The sequence below is a fragment of the Homo sapiens genome, chromosome 4 (genome assembly GCF_000001405.40).
Source record: "Homo sapiens chromosome 4, GRCh38.p14 Primary Assembly".
In the NCBI taxonomy this organism is placed as follows: Eukaryota; Metazoa; Chordata; class Mammalia; order Primates; family Hominidae; genus Homo; species Homo sapiens.
In genome coordinates, this window is record NC_000004.12 from 119,502,485 (window position 1) to 119,525,937 (window position 23,453).

The window sequence follows — 23,453 nt, forward strand, 5'->3', positions numbered from 1 at the left end:
GGTCCTAAGGAAAGATCCCATAGAGCCATAAAAAGGAGTCTACAATTAAAAAAAAAACAATTTGAATAATTCCTACCAACAAGGTTTCATACTTACAGTGGGTTCTATGTTGAGTTCTTTTCTCTCTCTGTCTCCTTGATCAAAAAATTCAGTTGCTACAAGTTCTGCTATCTGAAATAAATAACAGACTCAGTTTTGACAATGAAAAGCATATCATTCTTTAAAACAGAGACCGTGAATGAAGGCCCTGTTAGGAGCTGTATATCTCCATTTTATAGCAAATAAGCAGCAGCTTGATACCCGAAGACAAGTAGTCCATGTCCAAAGCGTGCTCTCTTAACTATTACATTATACTCTTTTTCACTTAGGTACATCTCTCTGTCTTTGGTAGCTTCCAACATTTTTCCCTTTTAATTTTATTTAAAAATGTTTTCTTCATTTATTTTCTCCCCATAAAACAGTATGTACAAGGGTTTGATTCAGGGGAGAGAAAGGATATATGAAGACACATTCTTCCCTCTTCTATTCTCTTACCTGGTTAGAAATAAATAGGCATATAGTCCTGTTTATTATGGGCAGGAAGGTAGGTAAAGATCACCTAAGTGCTTATGGCGTGTTGGCTTTGGCACATGGAGAATGAGTTTTTGATCTTGTTTTCTCGGCATGTCTGTTTCATGAGATGAGCCTGTAGGAAGAGTTACTAGGCTCCCTGACTAAGCAGCCCGGAGTCTTGACCAACAGCAGGCTGTCAACAATCCTAAATAGCATATTTATTACGGACTCAAAATGAAATCTTGAAAAACAAAAACACAATATATATGTCACTGCATGGACATCCATCACTTTTTCTGAGCCTGTATTGCCTCTGCAAAACATTATAGCAGTTACTTAGAGGGAAGGATTTTTTTCTAGCCTCCTGGTAACAGGCTCCATTCAGAACTTTCTCGACATCTTATATCAATACTTCCTACATCTACAAGCCCCAGAAATCTCTATGTTCTACTTGTTAATGTCTATTTAGAGCTGAGGCACAGCGTAGAAGGCTAACCATAAGAAAAGTAATTTTGCTTCTTCTAATTTTCAAGGTCATTAAAGGGATGACCTTAAGAAACAAGTAAGCCAGAAGTATAAGTTATATTCCAAATCCAAAAATCTGAAACCTAAAATGCTGGTTCAATGAGCATTTTCTTTAAGTGTCATGTCAGTACTCAAAATGCTTTGAATTTTGGAACATTTTGGGTTTTTGCATTAAGTATGCTCAGCCTTTCACACTGAAATGAAAACTGTGCTAATGTAGATGCTCTCTTTCTTAATATATCTTACAAATATTATGTGCAAATGCATCTTCTAAAAAGAAAAGCCTTTGTATGTCCAATTATCTGTTTTTAATACTACTTAAAAATTCCAAAAAAAATTCCATACTTACTTCAGAAGCTACCTTTAAGAGTAAAAACTTACTTAAAAAAATTTTTTTTATTTTAGATTTAGGGGGTATATGTGCATGTCTGGTATATATGTATATTGTGTATTGGTGGGGACTGGGCTTCTAGTATACCCATTACCCAAACAGTGAACATTGTACCCAGTAGGTTGTTCTTCACCCCTTGTTCTTTTCCCACCTTTCCCCCTTTTGGAGTCCCCAGTGTCTATTATTTCCATCTTTATGTCCGTGTGTACCTACTGTTTGGCTCCCACTTATGAGTGAGAATGTGCAGTGTTTGATTTTCTGTTTCTGAGTTAGTTCATTAAGGATAATTGGCCTCCAGCTCCAATCATGTTGCTGCAAAGGACATGACTTGATTCTTTTTATGCCTGCATAGTATTCCATGGTGCATATGTACCACATTTTCTTTATCTAATCAACTGTTGATGGACAGTTAGGTTAGTTCCATGACTTTGCTATTATATAATAAATGGTGCTGTGATGAACATATAAGTGTCTTTTTTATATAGTCATTTATTTTTCTTTAGGTAGATACCTAGTAGTGGGATTGCTGGGTAGAATGTTATTTTGACTTTTTAATTATTGTTATTGTCACTAAGTAACATACCCGTTGTTGAATAGGCCAGGGTTTTGTAATTGCAGAAAGATCACAAGCTGTCATCAGCATTGCCCTGTTATGGAAAAAAGAAACCCAAAACTCCTATTTACTTTTGTGTTATTATATACCCTCAGTAAATAGTTACTAATAAAAAAAAGTTAAAACCCTCTAAACAATGGAAATGGCAGTTTATAAAGACCAAAGAAAAAGAAACAATTTATATGAAAGTCTAACTAATACATTGATAACAGAGCATCATTGTTTCAGTTTCCCTTTGAACTTTTGGAATTTGTCCTCAAACTGCCTCATTTAGCTCCAGATTGGCAGACTGAAAAATTATTAACCTTGGGTAAAATCTTGCCTGCTTTTATTATTTTTGTCACCTTAGTATTCCATTCTCAGCGACAGTATGATGAAAGTACATTGATTACTAATAACCATTAAAGTACAACATCAGGTATCATACTGATAAAAGTCTTATATCAGAAATTATAGTAGGTCATCCTAATTCACTCAACACACATGGTAACTTCTAAATGAAAAGCCTTTGAATGATTAATCATGTTTTTCAGCTTTCTCCTTTATTGTTTCTGCATGTTGAATTATAGTTAGGAAAGTTTTCTCACTCCTAGGTTATAGAAGAATCCATCTATATTTTTATTTAATGCTTGTATGATTTAATTCTCTACATTGAACTCTATGCTTCAGTTGGAATTTAAGTCTGTAGAGTAGATCCAATTTTGTCTTTTTCCATTTGGTTATCCACTTATCTCTCTCTTTCCTCCAGTCACTGGAAATGTTATCTTTATTATACACTATATGTCTTATGCAGTTCTAGATTTTCAGCTGTGTTCCACTGGTCTGCCACCAATATCAAACTGTTTTAATCATAGAGACTTAATAGTATTCCTTCCATGTCTGGACCCTGACCTCACTGCTCTACCTTTTCAGATTTTCTTTAAGAGAAGTAAACATTTTGCAGCTATATCTTACTTCCACAACATTTATAATTCCATTTTCAGCACTTCCATTACAATGAATTAGGAAAATGAATAAGGGAAACCTATAGCCATATATTGATACTCTACCACATTTTAAAGGTTTTTCTAGAACAAAGGAACAGTTCATTCACTTGGATTTGCAAATGCATTTCTTTTCAAGTAAATATTCAAATTTACTCTTTGTACAACCCTCTGGAGAAATCTGACCGCTTTTAAGATCATCATATTGTAACAAATAATTGCAATAAAAACTAACAGTGAGGAAAAAATAGTGAGAAAATTAACTGGGTAAAAAACTTCAGCTTTAAAGATAGTAAACCTACTTACAAAAACAACTCCTTTTGATGAGGATCTTCCAAATTGAATTGATTTTTTCTTATAAGTTCAAAAAATTCTCCTCGCCTCCTACAATGTTTAAAAAAAAATTGTTAGTTATAATGAGTACCCAGGGTCTTATCCCTTTGGTCCACAAAGACTCATGGACTAAATTTTGGTGAAAAAAAACCTCTGATTTTTTTTCCCATCTTAGAGCCCACTATAAAATCATCATTTACAAATCTTTAATACCTCACTTTCCCCCTTCTATCATTTGCTTTCGATAAAACATTAAACCTCACCTAATTTTTAACTATAGATCACAAATTATGGTAATTTCAATTCTTGAATATTTGTTATTTTAAGAAAAATGAAACAGTATGAGTTAAAAATTTGATGCTGAGAATGATTTCAGGTATTTTAAGTGCATGGCATAATAAGATCTATAGGTTTCAGTTTATCATTTATTTCATGGTAGGGGATAAAAATATCTAAAGTTGTGAAGTGCTTCTGAAGTAAACAAAGACTAGGTAAAGTTTAAAATAAAATAATATTTGTTATTATTCAGTGAATATAATAATATTTGGTGTACAGTGAATACCTCTTTATGTGCCCAGTATTGTTAAGCATTTTGAGAAGGCATAAGACAAAAATTTTTCTTTTCGCAGTGTTTAATATCTACCTGGAGACACAAGACTCAAGAAAAACTTACGTAATAAAACTGATAGTATATGGTTATAAAAAATGAAAAGTATGTTTCATAAGGGTTCAAAGGAGAGACCCATGTGGCCTGTAAAGCTTAGAAAGGCATTGTGGTTACAGGTATTTTTCAAATTCTTGGTAATTTGATAATCCTTATTCTGCAATTATTTTTAATAAACTGAAGTTTACTATTAATATATATTATTTTGTCTTAACCTCAAAATGCTCTAAAAACCAATTAAGTAGGCACATGCAGTTACTTCTAGATGTATAACAGTAGATATCTGGCAGATGTTTTTGTGTTTTTTCTATGTGTTTTTACTTCTCCTAAGAGTAACTACAACCATGAATGTGAATTCCTTACAGAGGGAGAGAGACTCATGTTACAAGGAAATCCTGAGAGTGATTCCCTGACTCCCCTCATTCCCACACATGCGTCAAAGATCTCAGCTAGGAGTTGGAAACTTATGATTGCTCAAATGCAGGAAAGTATTTTCTAGCTTTTAGAAAGGCAGTTTAATCATGAAAATGCATAATCACAGAGACAACTCTAATGTATACTCTTATTTTAGAATCAACAACTTCAAAGTTCTACATAAATATTCTTCTCCTGCCAAAATCAAATAAAAAGAAACAAGAGTTACTTGCTTGGCAGTAACTCCTTTTCCTGCCCAACTAAGCTTGAATGACGGTATAAAGGAGTCATGAAATGGTCAGAAGTTGTGGGGAGCAAGGGAAAGGAGGAAAAGCAAATGATCTATATAATCTTTGGACAACATGGCTTGGAATGACTGACCTTGAGATGGCTATTAGATTTGTATATAGTTTCAGAGACACAGTGGTAGATAAACATCAGAAATAATAGGTATTCTTAATTTTCAGCAGTATAAGCCAAAGGAGTAGACTTTTCTGGCTACCCTTTCAGAAACTGCTCCGTATTCTGATAAGCAGTTTTGCCAGGACATTTCTGCTTTGAAATTTCTCAATATGGATGTCAAAAGTTTGAAACAATGAAAAGACTTCAAATACCTATTTCTCAGGTTATTTCTTAAAACTTACTTAATGTACAGTGCTAGGTCTGTAGCTAAAATAGCTTGCTTGATTATTTTCAACGTGGTCTTATATTCTTCAATGGAGAGGCCACTGAGAATCTGATTGCCCTTTATAAAAAAAGAAAACCAGTATTAACATCCTGGAGAAGCTGCTGACAAGAACAAAATCTAGAAATATATTCACATATCTTAAACACATGCCCAGTATTCTAATGAATGTGGAGGACACACTTAAATACCATGAAATAAAGTTTCCCCTCTATGTTCCCACCCAACCCCTCTGTCATACATGTAAACCGCTTCATAATGCTTCATCTGCCTACATATGCATGTTTTTCCAACTCTTATACTCCTTAAGCCTTAGTCCAGACTTAAAATCTAATAGCTATCCTTTTCCGTAGGGCAGACTAATCGCTATAATTTAACAGCATGTAAAACTTTGAAAAAAAAGCCATATTAATGGATATGAAGAAAGAAGTGGTAAAATTTTTAAACTTCTCTATGGCATTTTAAATAAATCCAGTAACATTTCTGGTGCAAATTTATATAATTTTAACTTGGTCAGTTATGATAACAGTGCATATTCCTTAGGAACATCTTAATATAGATGGGTAAAGGGCATGAGCCAAAGGGTGCTTACTGGTCAGTGGTGAAAGAAAGCGTGGGTTGAAACATCTATAAGGAATATTTAAAAGGTAGCTAATCCATGTGCAAATCATTCAAAGTTTTCACTATGTAACCATTTTTTATTTCTTATCTGTAATTTAAAGCATAGTGGTTCTCTAATCTTGAACTAAGTAAAATACACAGACCATGCACTCAGAATACAATCAAAACAACATCTGTAAGTTGAGTCAGATGTGCTTCCTATATCTTAGGGCCAAGAAAAAACCCAGACGCTTAGGAATGAGATCTGAAGGCAAGGGATTTGTTATGAAGACAGGAGAACTTCTGGGTATGTTAGGCTGGGGCCAAAACACATTGATTAAAGGATAACTAGATGCTGAAATTGTGGCATGGATCTAATTAATGACAATAATCTATAATTACAACCATAAACATTATTTTTAAATACTAAATCATTTTAGATTCTAGGCTAAACAGAAAACTATTCAGAAAATACCTTCTGATACTTACTTTAAGATAAAACAATTTCAAGTGGAAGATGAAATGTCTTTTGGTGCTATATTTTTATTTTTTACTCTCAAAAGCTGAGGATATAATTTCTTGTGTAATTATGCTTACAAAGATAGAATATATAGATAGGTCTTATAATTTGAGCCAGCCATATAGATAATCAGATTCCTTATATATTAAGTAACAACATATTACATAATAAGTTATATAGTAACAGGTCAGTTGATAGGAATACTGTAAAATATGCTTTTAAAAAAGCATATTTTCTTTCTTTGGAGCTAAATTTGTAGTGGGATACTGAAATGAAAGTTTTAGTGGAAACACACAGATAGCAAAAGTACAGATGTTCCTACTATAACATGACATATACATTCCTGAGAAATTTCAGTTCTGAAAAACCGTACACTAAAAATAACATGGATTTTGTGAAAAAATGGTATTGGGAAAGACCACTCAAAACCTATGCAACTTTGTAACCAGAGCACAAACTAAACCAAGAATTGGTTCCTCTGGAAGTAACTTGGACAGGCCAGTCTGGCAGGTCTGGAGGCTGCTTCTGAGGACATTAAAGATGGACAAAAACAATCAAGTAGAAATGCTGGTTTGAGGGGCCCTGCAATAATGCATATAGAATTGATTGTTGAGACAGTAACTCTGCTATTAAGGTGGGCATTGAAAGAAGAGCAAGCTACCAAGAGGCTACAGCAGTCCAAAGCGAGGGAGAGAGCCTCAGGTGCAAGTGCTCATTTTTAATATTCCTAAGATAGAATGGAAAGGGCTGTATATGCACGAGCCAAAGGGAGGGCTTTTTCCTTTATTGCTGAAGGTCAGAATTCAACTTCTATAATTCTGGCACCTCTTACCCCAGAGAAGTCGTGTATGAAATGATAGAACGTCTATAGTATACTGATACCATTCTTCTACCTCCCAATCACACATGATATAATTCACATTAAACAGTCACATGTTGTAGAAAAACAATCTGTACTAGACCATATACAGATTTTATAAGGAGGTTGCCAAAACAGGCTATATAACTCTTAATTCCTCCCCGACACTGAGGTGTTGAGGGAGGCGTGAGAGTGTGTTCCCCTCTACCTCAGGTAAGAGAGAGGGGTGTGGAGTTCCTGTGTATGTCTCCTATCATTTAGTGGGTGGAGGTGGGGCTAGAGTAGACTTGTGTCTGACTCTTGTCTGGAAAGTCTAAAAGCAAGGCACTCATATCAGTACCAGTCTGTTAAGAATGTTTTGATGTTTCTTACCTATTCTCCCTTCCCATTCTCCAAGTATGAAGAGGTAAGAAACCACATGGAGGTTGGGGAGAGAGGAAGGAGTTAGAAGAAACACAAGGTAGGGAATGGGAGAAGCCTACCAGTGCAGTAACAGAAAACCTGAAACTTTAAATCATGTTCAAAATTTGGACTGCTACCCAGGAGTACACATTTTTGTTTCTGAGTTGAGAACTCTATACTATATGTTGGAACCTAAAGTAACTAGAGGGCTTTTACTTATAAAATAGTGACCAGAAAAGTGATGGGAATCCCTGAATTTTTTTCCAGGGCTCAGGAAAGAATTAGCCCAACTGAGTAAACTTAGCAATATTGTAAAATTGCTTTAAGATTATATGTCATGCATTGTGTATGTTCAATGTAATAGTTAAAACTTTCATTTTTTCTTATTATTAAGGTAATACATACACACAGCCGACAATGTAAATAATGAACAACCATCCCCCCCAAACAAAGATTAACAATTTCATTACACCAGCACAGCCATTGTTAATATCCTGGTGCATATTATGTTAATCTTGTTTTCCTTAACATAAGTATGTTTAGCATAGCATAGCATATGCTTTCTTATGTTGATAAATATTCATTTCACCAAGTAGTTAAATAGCTTTATTCTTTAATAAAATCCTCTCTTAGTGACTGGAAGTTTCAATAAAAAGAAGAAAGGGTATTGCTTTGTGAAAGCAAATGCTTGAGCTATAGAAACCACTTCATTCGATTAAACAAAAAAAGCAGAATTAACTGAGAGCCACAAAATACACATTTTGTTTGTTTCTAATTTGGAATAGCCACGTAGAGTAGAATAACCAAATTTCCCTTATTGGGCAACATGTAGACAGTTCTGGTTGTCTAGAGAAGTGAGGCTGTGAGGATCTCAAATGTTTTGGCTTCGCCTTCCTTACCCAAAAAGGAATAAAGTATGTGCAAGAATTTATGATGCTGGGAATAAATCCAAGAACTAAAAATAAAACTGAATTTATAAAGCTCTCTTTTAAAATTCCACAACAATAAATTAGGTACTTACTGGACTATTAAGAATCATCAGGCACTGGTCAAAATGATGGTGTTCCATGATTGAATGGCAGTAAAGCTGGGCAAGTGGATGTTCACTTCTGAAAGTATTTTGTTGAAGAAAGGAAAAAAGATCAGTTTCCTTAATATGCCATTTATCAGTACATTTTTATTACTGTTTAACTACAAAAGAGGCTACTTCACAAAATTAATCAACTAACAATTTTCTCTCCTTTTACTGAGAAAAGTGTGAGATAATCTCTGGGAAACAAATACAAAGAGTCAAATTGTTTTCAAATACCAATGTGACCATTGCCAGAGTAAAGTATGAACAATTTCATTGGTTTTAATACTGATTAAAATAGAAGTAAGGAGTAAAGACAAAAAAATTAATACCTCCAAACATGGAAAAAAACCCTCTGAAATAGTTGTACCAATTATATTTTTCAATTTCAAAACTGCAATTGATATAAAATCTGAAACAAATTCATGTTAGCTTTTCCTCTGAAATAATGCTCAGGCTGAAGGTCAGCTTATTCATGTGTGCCTGCAAATAAGAAAAGGACTGACTGAGATGGAATTAACTGAGGTATGATTGATGAAAGGCAAGAAAAAGAGGGATAGTCAGTGTACATGCTCCCTTGGAAGGAAGGAAGGAAGGAGACGGCTGAGTTGGAAAGTTCCCCATGTAGGATCCAGGTCATTTTAGTGCAGAATATCCTGCTAGTTCTGCTAATTGAACTTGGTGAAGCAGTAGAGACCCTTTGGCTGAGTGAAGAGAAAGGAAAGGATATTATACTCAGTTCATTATATCTCTGAGACAGTCACAAATAAAGCTTTAAAGCACGACAAGCACAATCCTCCACCTCATGTTTCTCATGACCCTTCACACGTGAATATTAAGCATAGTTTTCACTATTTCTTCATAAGAAAAAGATGAAGTTTCTGAAAGCCTCTGTTCATAAAATTTATAGGAAAGGGGTTTGTGAATTGTAAAGCTCCATATACAAGTGTTGGATAATACAACTGATTTGTTATTTCTTCCTATTACTATCTGAACGATTATTTTACTTTGCATTTAATTTGTTGAAGATAGAGAAGCTACCTAAGACTGAAGAAATGTAATGTGGGGGAAAAAATGGGTAAAGTGAGAGAAATCTGAGGGAAAAAGAAAATAGTAAAGTGAAAATAAAGGTAATAGGACAGATAATCTCATCTATTCTTATTGTTTAAAGTGTTGTTTATATTTACTGTTGTCCTAACCTTTCCCAAATTAATTCTTGCCCTTCTTGTCTTCTTTGCTCCTTCCATATTTAGTGAGTTGGACTATGGATCAGGTACTGTGCTCAGCATCAGAAAATGGGATGACAATGAACAGAGTAACAGGACTATATTTCTGAAAAAGGATGAACTTACTGGAAACAGGATTGCGTATGTATCGAGACTATGGGAGTTAGTTAGGAGACTACTGGGAAACTTCTAGTAATCTAAGTCAGAGAGAGCCTGGATTAGAGTGGTAGCAGCCCAAAGGAAGAGAAGCAGACATCTGAGAGCTGTTTAAGAGTAGATCAGATAGGAACTGGTAATGACTCCTGACTAGGAGTGGGATGAGGGAGATAAGGGGATGAGGGAGATAAAGGGAAAAAGTATGAATGTTAAACTTTCTGCCTTGGGATGCTGACCTCATTTACTGACACAGGAAAAGGGAGAAGATGATTAAAGATGGGGGATGAAGCAGGGGAACCTGACTAGCTGAATGTTGGATCTGTTCATTTTAAGGTGCCTGAAATATATCCAAATGGATATAAATGTCAACTCAGTTCTGGGCTGGAGATATAGATTTGGAATGCACCAACAATGCAGATGGTAATCCTGGCATGCGAGTAGGTGAGATCATCCAGGGAGATGGCCTATAATGAGAGCCTACAACATGTCAGGTAGTTTGCTTTAATTTTTTTTAGTTTATTATATTTAATTTTTACAATAACCTTGTGCAGGGCATGCCCATTTACGACATCAAAACCCTCAATCCCACCTCTTACTCATCCACTGATGTAGTGTCCAGTTTCATGCACGCTTTAACAGACTTCATGCAAGTACCAATTAGAAGGTGTTTTGTCCCAGCCTATCTTTAATACCTCTCACTTCTGCCTTAGAGCTTTCTGACCCCACAACTGGTGCCCAGAGGAATGTTCTCTGCACTCATACTTGTTCATCCTGAAAGTGTCAAAGAGTGAAGGCCTGTGGACCACCTTGGACCAGGGGGGTACAAAGACCTAGGGACAACTGCCTTTGTCTTGCCAGTCAACAGTTCTGGGTCTTATTTCATAAGACTCCTCAAAAGTGCCTGGGAAGACTAAGCACCAGTATGGGTGGACATCTGGATAGCTCATCCCTCTACTGCCTTTCCTTTCTTCCCTGCTTCCTTCCCAGTTCTGCATTCCTGCTCCCTGGGGTCATATTCACAAATAGCCTATATGCACACTGACTTTCATCTCAGGTTGTGTCTCCAGGGTAACCTCAGCTGAGACCTCTCTAAAGTTGCCATCTTTTTGCTTTCTAGACAATCAAAGGCTCAGTGAAAAATAATGTGCTCAAGGTTGATATAAATGGTAGAGCTGGCATTCAAGTATATCCTCTTCAACCCATCACACTGTCTTAGGATACCAAAGTACTTTAAAGGCACACAGTATCCACTCATTGACCCACTTAGGGGCTGGACTACGAAATGCAATTAGGTGGTTATTTAACACAAACAAGTTAGAACTTCAAACACACATTACATTTTTAGACGACGCAGAAGGGACTGTTTCACATTAGAGAAAATTCTTGGCTTGAGATAGATGAATGCAAACTGTGTTTGCCTTTACTTACATTCTAAAAATACAGATTTATGAATCCATAACAGAGTGACAAATGACTCGAATTTCCTGTATATAAAAACATTCATGGAAACCAGTGTATTCTCTATCTGTTGTATTTTCCTCTTTCAAACACAAGGCTATGTGGCTTCTTTATTTAAGGTTGCATCAGAAGGACCCATTTAAACCACTACTGCTACAGAATTTTGTTCTCACACTGCTGTCAGTGAGCACTAATGGACCAGCATACTCACTTTGCATTTTCCTCTGTTCTGCACAGTTGTTGGTCCATCTCTGACAGTAGTATTAGGATGTCCAATGCAGAAATCAGACCAATATTTTAAAAATAGAAAGCCTTAGAAATCTATAGAAAATGAAAGCCCCATGGGGGTGGGAAACTATATTGCCACCCCAGTCTTCCTATGTCACCAAGAACAAACAACATCCTTGGTTCTGCTTCTTAGCCATATATATTACTCTGGGCTCAATTCTCTAACAACCTCTTTGTAACCTTCAATCCCATTTAGTTCTTTACTTCATCATTTCTCTTCAAATCATCACTATTGCTTTCTTCTCCCAATCAACCTTTTTTTTTTTTTGCCTTCTCATTGTCTATAATCATATTCAATGACATAAATATTCATAATGATGATTCATTTCACCTTTTGACCTCAGAATTCTCTGACCTCCTTGACACTACTGATTATCTCTTTGCACATAATGATGGACAGGGCTCCGCTTCTTTGTTCCACAGCTACTAGGTTCTACTGGGCACAGTATTTTTGCCACTCCCTTTATTCACCACAGGACAAAGCAAGATCTTGAACTCCTATCTGTTGCTAAGAACATTCCCCTGTGAAAATAGCTAAAACCTGTAGAGCATTTAACATGTGCCAGGAAATGTTCTAAGCACTTTACATCTATTTATACCCCTTTAATCCTTATGAAAATCCCAGAAGATAGGTATTTTCATTATTCCATTATACAAAGAAGGAAACAGGGACATAGAGAAGTTTAATGACTTGCACAAGGTCACAGAGTAAGAGGAGAGAGAAGCCAAGATTTGAAGCTAGGCATCTGGCTCAAGTTGGCTCTTAACTACCATAACCATCACAGCCACTGCATGGTGGTATAAGGACTAAATGAACTAATATATAAAAAGTGCAAAAACGTTTCAAATGGCATAAGGCCTATATAAAGTTTTAGCTTCTATTATTAGTATTTACTACTGACATAGGACTAATTGAATTGAACTTTCACTTTATTCATAGTCAGATCTCCAGGCTCTCAAGATCTCCAACCTGACCAGAGATCATCTCATTCATGGGTAAAATGGACTTTACCCAGTTTGAACTTCACACATGATTTTGTGCTGTGTGTAGTGCCCTTTTAAGTCTCTCACATCCTGCTGACCCTCTATTCCCACTGTGCCAGACCATGACTTCAGCTCACTTCTGTCCTCTATTAGAGCAGAGAAGACAGTCATGGGATAGAACAAGTTCTCCCAGGACAAATATACAGTGTGACTGTGGCTACCAGGAGATTTTTCTCCCCCTGATTGTATTGCATCTCTAACCTTGAAAAAAACACATTCGTTCGATCATTTTACCACTTCTAACTACCACCCTATTTATTATCTTCTACTGGACTTATTGCCAAAACTCCCATAACTTCCATTCTTGCCAACCCTCTCTCTCAGTGCACACATATACATATTTCCCAGCTCTTTCATTTTCATCAATGGCACCATCACTGTTCCAGTTTCTTGGACCAGAAGTCATATCTCCTTCCTTCATGCTTATATATAACTAGCTGCTCATTATTAAATTAAAAAATTTTTTTCTCCTTCAGTCTCTTCCTCTCTCTAGCCAGTATGTGATTTTTCAGCTTATACTTGACTTGCTGTAACAGCTTTCTAGTTGAGCTCTGTGGTTCTAATTTCTACCCATTCACCTTGTAGCTTACATTCAGACTTCCTTCCTAAAACTGTGCATTTATTACACACTGCAGTGGCTCCTTTTTCCCACCCATATCAAATCTATAATGCACTGGTTAATTTTATAACCCTGCATCAAAAAGTTTCCATTTGTTCATTCTCTTCTTTTTCATTCCTAATCAGTGTGAACCTTCTAACTCTAGTCAAGCTAGCCATCACCACTATTCCAAGAACATGCTTACCTCATGGTGCTCCTGAAATATATTTATCCTTTCTCCTTTCTAAATCCTACCCACATTTTAAGACCAAGTTTAAGTCTCATTTCCTCCATTAACAATGGAGATGTACTACATCTGTCTTGACCAGTTTTCTCTGCTGAACACTTACAGTCCATGCACTAAATAACTCAGGACTAGATACTTTCTTGTAGTGATCACTATTACTTCATGAGACTATGACAATTCTTAATGGCAAGAATCACATTTTATACTTCTATCACTTTCTTTCTGCCTTGCAAAGGGCAAAAGCCCTAGTATAATAATTATTCATTATCTATCTGCCTAGAATATAACATAATTTCACTGCATTATTTATCAACACCAAACTTGAATCTAACCAAATAAATGCATCTACAACAGTCTTCTTATACTGAATGCAGACCTAATGCAGGTAATCTCTCTACATAACCCAAATGCTACAATTGTGTTTTCTCTAGTGGTTGTCTGCACTTTAGCTATTTTGTTCCTATTACTGCCTATTTTTAAAATAAGAATTCAGTATCTATCTGAGATCATTCTTTTTTTTTTGAGATAGAGTCTCGCTCTGCTGCCCAGGCTGGCATCAGTGGCGAGATCACAGCTCACTGCAACCTCTGCCTCCTGGGTTCAAGTGATTCTCCTGCCTCAGCCTTCCAAGTAGCTGGGACTACAGGCACCCGCCACCACACCCGGCTAATGTTTTTTGTATTTTTAGTAGAGATGGGGTTTCACCATATTGGCCAGCCTGGTCTCGAACTCCTGACCTCGTGATCCACCTGTCTCGGCCTCCCAAAGTGCTGGGATTACAGGCGTGAGCCACCGCGCCCAGCCCTCATTCTCTTCTTGATTCACCCAAGTGGGAGAAGTAAGCATGAGCAGTGAACTCTTCTCTCATATATGCCACTGGCATACCTGTAGAACTCCTCTACGAGGGTAGTTTCCTAATCAAAGAAGGCATCAAATAATCAAATGATGACTCAAGGGGCAACTTTCTATTGGAGAAATATCTTCTTCCAAGGTAATTTCAGGGTAATTTTCTGAAAAGATGTTCAAGAATGAATGAGGAAAATCTCAGTTTCTAATTTTGCCACCACATGACCATTTTTCTCTTTTTGATAAATTACTTTCATCTCTGTGCATTGTTTTATTTTTTGATTTTCTCTAAATATTAGTTTGAATATCTGATGAGGGCTGGACACAGTATACCTTTTTAGAAGATAGTACTTTACATGGGAATATTTATGGTACTCATAGTTTCCTGGGTCTCCTGGCTAAGAAAATTCTACTTTAAGTATCACTCATTTACCAACAAGGAAAGAAAAAAAAAGAAAAATCCCTGGAAAATTCTTGGTTTCCTCTACTGAAACCACAGGGATGTAGGAAGAAATAAAAATCTTTGAAACTGCTTTAACTTTTTTTTTTTTTTTAAAGTTGAAGTCTGCTTTGTGGTGTGTGTGTGAAAGCAAGATTCTGCAGTCAATGACTTTTTCCCAGGATGTTTTCTTTTTCTTTTTCTTTCTTTTTTTTTTTTGGAGAAGATGACGTTTCTCCAGATGTTTTTGGGGTAATTATTTTTAAATAAACAAAGGAAAAAATAGTTGAGTGTTTTTTTTTTCACTCTAAAGCAGGGCAATATAGCATCTTAGAGCAATCCATACACTAATAATACACATACTAATAATATTATGTTCAGTGTAGCACATGCTTATTCTGATCTTTTGGTTGTGCTGACTGTGGAGAGGCGTACTATGTGGCTTGACTCTGTACTATACATCTTTTCATATCAGTGTCCCCTTTCATAATTATTCTGTGTCTGTGTGAGGCTCAGGATTGCAATCACATGACAAAGCACAGGGGACAAAGGACATGTCACCCAGTCAGTTCTCCAAAACATGAGATTTTTCAAGAGGAAACAGCCAGACTCTGATACTCAGGCAAGAGCTTGCTATCTTTTCCCATCAAAGGTCAGCAGAGGACATGGTTGTTACATCACTACAATTCTTTCTACATGAAGTTTTCCATTTATTTAGATAAGAAGAATGTGATTAGAGAGCTTTCTGAAATTCCCTCTAGATATCAGACATCTGGAATTTCCTTGAGAGATCTGCCCATTAGTTGAATCACTTGTGTACTTAAAAAATGCTCAGTAGTAAGAGATCTTGCACTTAAAATGTAGACCTTTCAACTAAATTCCTGTAAGAAAATAAAAATATCACAGTGGCTCAAACATTTGATGAAAAGTGATGTCACCTTTATCCTCTCATTTGTCATCTCAAATGCCACTTAAGTATGGCTCTTAAAGGAGCCTGACACTTGTCCTAACGGATAGTGTCTCACTCTCAAACTCAGTCAATGAGCAGACATCTGATGACAGTACATCTCTAGCATCTGCTTCTAATATTTAAGACTTAAATAGGTACCAAGCATTCTGCTTGGTATTGATGTGCATTATCTTTTACAACTATTATCTCCATTTTACAGATCAGGACATAACGGTATAGAGAAATTAGACAGAGGACCAGTTTTCCAACAGAGTGCTATGTAGCTTCCACTAAGACCAAAAGCCTCCTTCTACTGAGCACTTAATAAGTATGTAGGGCCGAGCTAAGCACTTTTCAAATATTATCTTTTCTACTGTAGGGTAAAATGTTACCTTTTCTAAACTAGTCTTAATAGTTTTCTAAGGAAGCTGTTAAGCTGGATATATATAAACTAAAGTAAAACTCCTGGTAATTATCTAATGAAATAAGATTCTCAACATAAATATGTTTTGAACTTCAGGGCTGAAAAATTATAAACATAATACTTAACCTGCATTATTTTTTCCATTTCCTTTAAATATAACCAGAGTATGTTATGGGACCTTGACCATCAAATTTTGCTGTGGCTTTAACTTAAAAAAAGACAGCCCTACAATTAAAAGAAAACATTTTCTTGCTTTACTGGGAAAGTCTTACCGCTGTATGTAAGAGTTATTCACACCACGGTGATCCAAATCGTGGCTTAGTGCAGCAATCAGCAATGCAAGTATCTCCAGGTCAGTCAGCTTGTTCTGCATGACCAAAGACATTGGAGGAAAGAGAGAACAAATATAATGTGGTGAAGGACATTATATTACCTCTTTTCAGTAATCTTTTTTTTCCCCTCAGTGCTTTACATACATACTTCTCTATAGTCACAAAGGACTAACCCTAGAATCCTATTCTTCAGGGAATTAGTTGTCCTTTGTCATTCAGAATGGGATCACCACAAATGTCACTTATCAACAGGAAAAGCTGAAATGCCTCAATAAATTAATAATCTGTCCACCTATAGTAAGTATTGCTAATTCTTAATTATTATGTGAAATAATCATAATAAACTTTAAATAATTGTTTTTTTCCTCTTTTAATTCCCTGCAGATTCTGTTCACTCTCTGCTATCAGTTGCTGTGTCCTTAAGGAATGCAGACAATGTTAATTCAAGCAAAACAATAGAAAGAAAATGATTTGAAATGAAAACTTGGCTTTAAAAAGTTACATAATATACTCTCAAGCTAAATATAGGTTATTTTTTAGTATCTGCTATGAGTATTATCATTAATACTGTTCCCCTTCATTCGCAAAAAACACAAGTTAAAATTATCATCAGCTGTATTTTCCTAGAACTCTCAGTACTCTAAATAGGTTTTACAACAAACACAAAAATCATCATTTTGTTATTCCTCACAGAGAACTAGGACAGTTTTCAGTGTTGATAATCCTTGTGACCTTCCCTACCCCAAAATAAGTTTACATGATTTCTTACACTGGTTGAGTATCCCTAATCTGAAATCCAAAATGCTTCCAAATCTGAAGCTCTTGGAGCACCAATAAGTCTCAAAGGAAATACTCATTGGAATATTTTGGATCTTCAGATTAGGTATATTCAACCAGTAAGTATAATGCAAATATTCCAAAGTCTGAAAAAAATCTGAAGTCCAAAACACTTCTTGTCCCATTTCGGATAAGGGATACTCAACCTACACGTGTTTGCTAAGGTAGGAAAATACTACTATTGTATTTAATTGCACCTCACTTCTTTAATAACAATCACTTCTTTTAGATTTAGCCAGTTAAAATGTGCACCCTATGAAAGTAGAGACAGAGAATAACATTTTAAGAATTTATTTACAAAAAGAAAAAGGCAGGGAAGCTCTGAATTAAAAACAGTTATATGATGGATGCCTGGAATCACTTACCTAGAATAACTAGTCGATTCCCACTGAAGTTAGAATCTAAGGACAGAGATATGGATAAAATTTGGCCTGGAAAGGAACGAATTACTTGAACGTTTTCTGCATTGATCTTCCTTTTAAACAGTCTCTGGTCAATGTATATGAAACCAAAACCCTTTCTATGAAACAGTACTTACAAAATTTACTGAGTGCTCCAGAGAAAATGCGATACAGACCCCTAACTTATCAATGAAGCAAGTTCAGGAACTAGGTGGTTTTTGAGGAATTCTACTATGGAGCAGGTTGAATGTGAACAAGAGAAATGTGATACTTTTTCTTACTTTTTCTTAATAAGGCAGTGTTTTCCTCAGAAGGAAATATTTATTTGCCCAAAGACTATTTACGTGCAACATGAAGTTATTTTGAAGGTTTTCTAATATGCCATATATATCATATATGGAAGAAAATTAGCAACGAAGTAGTTTTGCCAGATTAGTCCTCTTTAATTAACGAAATATAACTTATTATGTAAGTGGCAGCAAATATTATTTTAAATCATTGTGCACCTTAAAGTGAAATTGAAAGAATATGCTATAAATTTTACTACTAAGCAACAAAATGTATTAGATATATGAATGGCTCTAAAAAGTACCTGAATTTTGCCTGCTTTTAGAGCAGCAAACATGCACTGAGCTGTATTAAAGGCATGTCTCCAATTATGATAGGCAACATTCTTCCGATAATTCTTCTTAACACTTAAAATCCATCTGCAAAGAACCTTTAGGGAATAAAACATAAGTAGTAACAATAATTGCCAACATCTTCACACATTTACTATGTTCCAGACACTACAAAGCATTCACATTTAGCCTGATACTCCGATTTGGATCATCTTACAGACAAGAAAACTGACACTCAGAGAGGTAACTTGCTGAAGGTCATATTGTTAGTTAGGGATGGGGCCAAAATTCTAACTTGAGCAATTTGACTCCACAGCCTACCATGTTAAGTACCATGCTAATTAAATTGATATAAAACACAAGACATCCCTAAGAAGGGTATTTTTGGCAGGGTAGGGCACTGGGTAGGTTTTTTTTTTTTTTAATAAAAGGTCCATGTGTCCATGTGCCATTTCCATGTGTCACCAACTAGGAGAGTCCAAAGGTTCACATAGGTATGAATTCACCATTTGAGAGCCATAAAAGCGGCCACTCCCAAGTTCTTCCCATGCTCTCATGTTGTATATCCGTGAAGGTATTTAGTGCAAGGCCCTGGGGGTGGACTAGTAACAAGGTATATAGCACATGTCCGAGGACAAATTGGAGCTACAAGACAATGCCGTCATTAGCTCTTTGTCCTTTTAAATTATACTTATTCAGGTAGTTACTGCCTGGTTACAAAGAAGTAATTAAAAAAAAAATGTGCCAAATAAAGCCCTGGGGTCCATATAAAAAACACTTTAAAAGATGGCCGGGGGCAGGATAGACTTCAGCAAGTCTCAAGAGTTGGGTTTAATTCAACTTCTAAGTGGTGTATTAAATAAAATCCCCAGAGACTCATGGGCCCTAAACATGGTCTGTGTTAGCATCAGAATCTGCCTCTCTTCAAATCTGAGTGATTTACTATACTTTTGGGGATTTGTAAAATAAATATGTGATTCTCCCTACATGTATCACTGGAGTTGCTTCAAACACAAAGAACATTGCCCTGGGAAATGGAAAAAGTACCAGGGAAAAGAATGTTGCTTTGACAATATTCAACACAATACGATTAGCTACAGAAGTAGGCCAAAAACAAGGTTTCTTCATTGTCGGTAGAAACTGCTTATAAAGAACTTGGTGGGAAATCAATGCTTCCATATCCTCCCTTTTCAGGTCATTTTATTCCTGTTCTATTGCTCAGTTTACAGGAAATTCTGATAACAAAGAACACTAATGTCTCCTAACCTTTTTACCCACTGAGTTGCCATATTCCAAGCGGAGGATTTCTGTGTGCCTAAGATTGAATGTGTTCACCCCAAGCATACTGCAGCTTCTTACACCATTTTTTCATATCTGAATAGAGTCTGTCAGGAAGGTGATGGATGAATCTTACTGGGAGACTAATCTTACTGAGAGACTTTTAAGTAAGATCTATAAACTCTCTTTGATATGTTTAGAAAATATGTTGCAGAAAATTACTGGTGATTAATTAAAGCAGCAAGAAAAAAAACAGGAAAACCCAGAAATTTAAACTTTGGATATATCTTTTTACTAATCATAAATGTACAGATATAATTAAATATATAATACCATATATTGTGAAACAATGACCAAAATGACTCTATGAAACATAATTCCTAATGGACTACTCTATTTTCCTTTTATTAAGACGGACCTAATAGAATTGGATAACCCAATGGACAAAGTAGTTAGTACCTATATTTAAGTACAGTTTTAGATTCTGTTACCAGGATGTTCTCAACAGCATACAAGAAAATTATGGTCATATCTGGTAAGTTCTCAGTGGATATGCTGGACACCATTAAAATTTGTAAGACAGTATTTTGTACAGGACTACTGAGTACTTATTTGCAGTTTGGATGACTCTACAGAGCATGTTCAATACGTTGAATCAGTCTCTAACAATTATGGAAGGTTTCCTGAGTGGTGAACTCAAGATGCCACCGGAGAAAAAGAAGAAACAGAAAACAGCTTAGCTCCTGCTTCAAGAAACTCAATCAGTAGTGAAAAATAACAAAATTGCATATATAAAGGAAATAAGTAAATAAACATAAAATTGAGAGCAAGTTTATACATTGCCAAATAGCAATTGAAGCAGCATGAAGTCAAGCCTAGGGTTCTCTTACAAACAGATATTCTTAAGTCAGGCTCTGAAGAAGAGAAATGTTTGTTGTGGTAGAGAGTGGAACAGACATTATTCAGGGAGGAATGAGATGTAAAAGATAAAAAGTGAAAATAAGCACAGCACATGCAGATTGGCTTGAGCAGAATGAAGAATCTGTTTCAGAGATCAGCAAGAGGCAATGGTTACAGTCATTATAGGAGAATAACTAAAGATTTAGAAGCCATGCAGAGAACATGAAGATCTTTCAATATGAAATATTCTTAGTCACAACAGCTTCATGATGTTAACATCCTCTCTAGCATTAACATTTTTATTTCATCATCCTAAAATTATACTGACAATAATATCTGAAAGAAACAAAACAGAAGAGGCACTAAGGAAGGAAGGCCAGCCAGAATGATGGCAATGTTCAAGTTTGATGTTGGCCAGAATTAGAATAATAGTTATTCAACCAGAAAAGGTAGGATGATGAATCAGACATTAAGAGGAAATATTTTCCTCATGGATAAAAACCCAACAACTGGTAAGAATAAAGATTTCTACAGAAACTTTGAGTGATTATCTTCATTACCTAACCCTCAAATGCTATCTAAAGGCCAAAGAGAAATAAATCAACTTATATGAATTTCATTTAAAAGTACAAGAATCACATTCCTCTACTCTAGCCAAGTCCTTTCAACAGAATCATTATTAGTTTCAAGAATGGGAGTACTCAGGAATGGAAAAGGATTTGAGATACTATATAGGTTTATAAAGTCCTGTAACTAGCAAGAAGCAGAAGTGAGATTCACATAGAACTTCTGGCTCCAAATGAGATCTTCATCTCATCAATAGATACGGCTTTAAAAAAAGAGCCTTATGACCTACTATTGAGAAATTTGATGAGTGATGTAACCAGTCAAACTTGGCCTAAGAATGGGATAACTGACATGGACTCTACACCTGTTTGTTAAACAGAATATTATAGATAAGTACATACATACACATGCATACAAATAGATAATCACAGATGCACGTATAATTCTCGTAAGACTCCCATGGGGAGAATAATACCATTACCCCTAATAACAGAAAAGGAAACTGAGAATATGAGTGATTAATTGCCCAACGAAAAAAGAGCTAACCAGTAGCAGAGGTATGACTCAAAAATCCATGATCTTTCTACTCTACCATGCTGTCCCAATTTCTTCATTTGTAAAATGGGGATAACAGTAATCCCAGTAACAGCCTTTCTAGAGAACTTGTTGAAATAATTAAATGGCATGATATCCCTTAATCAACGCACTCTAACAAGAGTAAAGTATTATTAGGTAAGAGTCTATGGACAATTGTTCTTTATTTTCACCTAAGAAAGAGTAACATAAACTTTGGTTAAATTCAGGAAGAACCAGATTTGGGCCTCCAATAATACCATAAATGACAATGTATTAATCTTAGCTATATTCACTCTTAGTTTTCATTTCTGTGAAGCCTTTGAGAGCAGGGACAACTCATCGCTGAAATGTGCCCCTGGCAGAGTCCTGAATTAATACAATGCTAAATAGTGGAGGCCTTCAAGATATTTAAATTTTCAGATAGGAAATCTGTACAAGGAGACTAGACATTCAACTGATCAGAAAAAGTAATTTTTAAAGGCAAGATTACTGAATTCTTTTTTTTAAATAGTCCTTTCTGCTGCTTCTTATTCTTTGATGCTATATATTATAATACATAGCCATTATGAAACAACGGAATTCCCTAGTATCTCCAAACTGATATTAGAAGATATTTAAGTTTTTCTATTTTCTGAGAAGTGAATAAGGTAAGCAACAGAGGTTAAAATCAGTTTTCATCTTCACCCATATGGGTGACCCTGTTCCAACTAAAAGCTTGGCCTCCCATCAGGCCCCTTTATTTCCTCCTTCATTTTCAAAGGAGTTCACTCTGCTTCGGTCCTTCCCTGTACACTATTGTTATAACCATTGCAGTGAGATCATGCTACTTCTCTGCATAAAATTCCTGTGACTCACCATTGTTTTCAGGGTAAAATCCAAATTCATCTGTACGGCTTACAAGGTTCCGTATCATTTGCTTCTCACCTTCTTCCATTGCTTCTCTTGCCATTCTTACCCCTCAACAGTACTCCTGGCCCTCACCCCCAATCTCTGCTGTCATGCCTTTGAACATCCTGCTCCTATTTTTAGGAACACTCTCCCTTAGTCTTCACCCTGATACTTGATACATGCTAGGAGCCCATTAAATGTCTTTTTGATAATGATAATTTTTCTTTAAAAGTCTCGGGTATATATTAGGTGACAGTATATTAATCACTAAAATGTAAAAATCCCTATTCCATATTTGCATTCAAAACCAATTCTCTCTCTTACATACACACACACATACACATAGACTTTTCCAAAGGATGTTGCTGCATTCCTACCTCATGTTTCATCTGGAAGTTCTGCACAAGGTTGAGGTCAGTAAACATCCGAATTGTACACAGTGCTGTTTCCAGATCAGACAGCTCAAAGTCACTGAAGCTAAAGTCAGTAATTTTAAGGGTCTGGGCAGATGGCACCACAGCAGCCTTGGGTAAGGAAAGAAGAAAAAAAAAAATGCTGTTAATTAAAGCAGCAGTGATTTGCAAGGTTTTCTTGTTTTGCTGCAGAGAAATAGCATATTGTGGCTTTTTTTTCCTTTTTAATGAAAGACACTAGAAACCTTTTTGTACAGTGGCAACTCCACTCTCTGCATTTTTAAAACTGAGCCACATAAGGGTAATTAATATGGTTCAAAGTAGGCTAAGTGGAGAAAAGGGAGTTGTCACCC

The 23,453-nt window shown here is 35.8% G+C and overlaps 1 protein-coding gene across 4 annotated transcripts in view; it reads right to left on the bottom strand.

Moving 5' to 3' along the window:
* PDE5A (phosphodiesterase 5A) overlaps positions 1-23,453 on the bottom strand; it is a 134,402-nt gene that overhangs the window by 8,082 nt on the left and 102,867 nt on the right. For 3 of the 4 annotated variants that reach the window (NM_001083.4, NM_033437.4, NM_033430.3), the window contains exons 12-19: positions 23,065-23,211; positions 18,451-18,576; positions 16,561-16,655; positions 8,563-8,650; positions 5,120-5,220; positions 3,371-3,448; positions 2,052-2,115; positions 97-171 (exon numbers count right to left, since the gene is read on the bottom strand). In NM_001083.4, coding sequence (NP_001074.2) covers positions 97-171; positions 2,052-2,115; positions 3,371-3,448; positions 5,120-5,220; positions 8,563-8,650; positions 16,561-16,655; positions 18,451-18,576; positions 23,065-23,211 — 774 coding nt within the window. Of the gene's footprint in view, positions 1-96; positions 172-2,051; positions 2,116-3,370; positions 3,449-5,119; positions 5,221-8,562; positions 8,651-16,560; positions 16,656-17,822; positions 17,859-18,450; positions 18,577-23,064; positions 23,212-23,453 lie in introns of those variants that run through there. The other variant, XM_017008791.3, reaches the window with a different exon arrangement.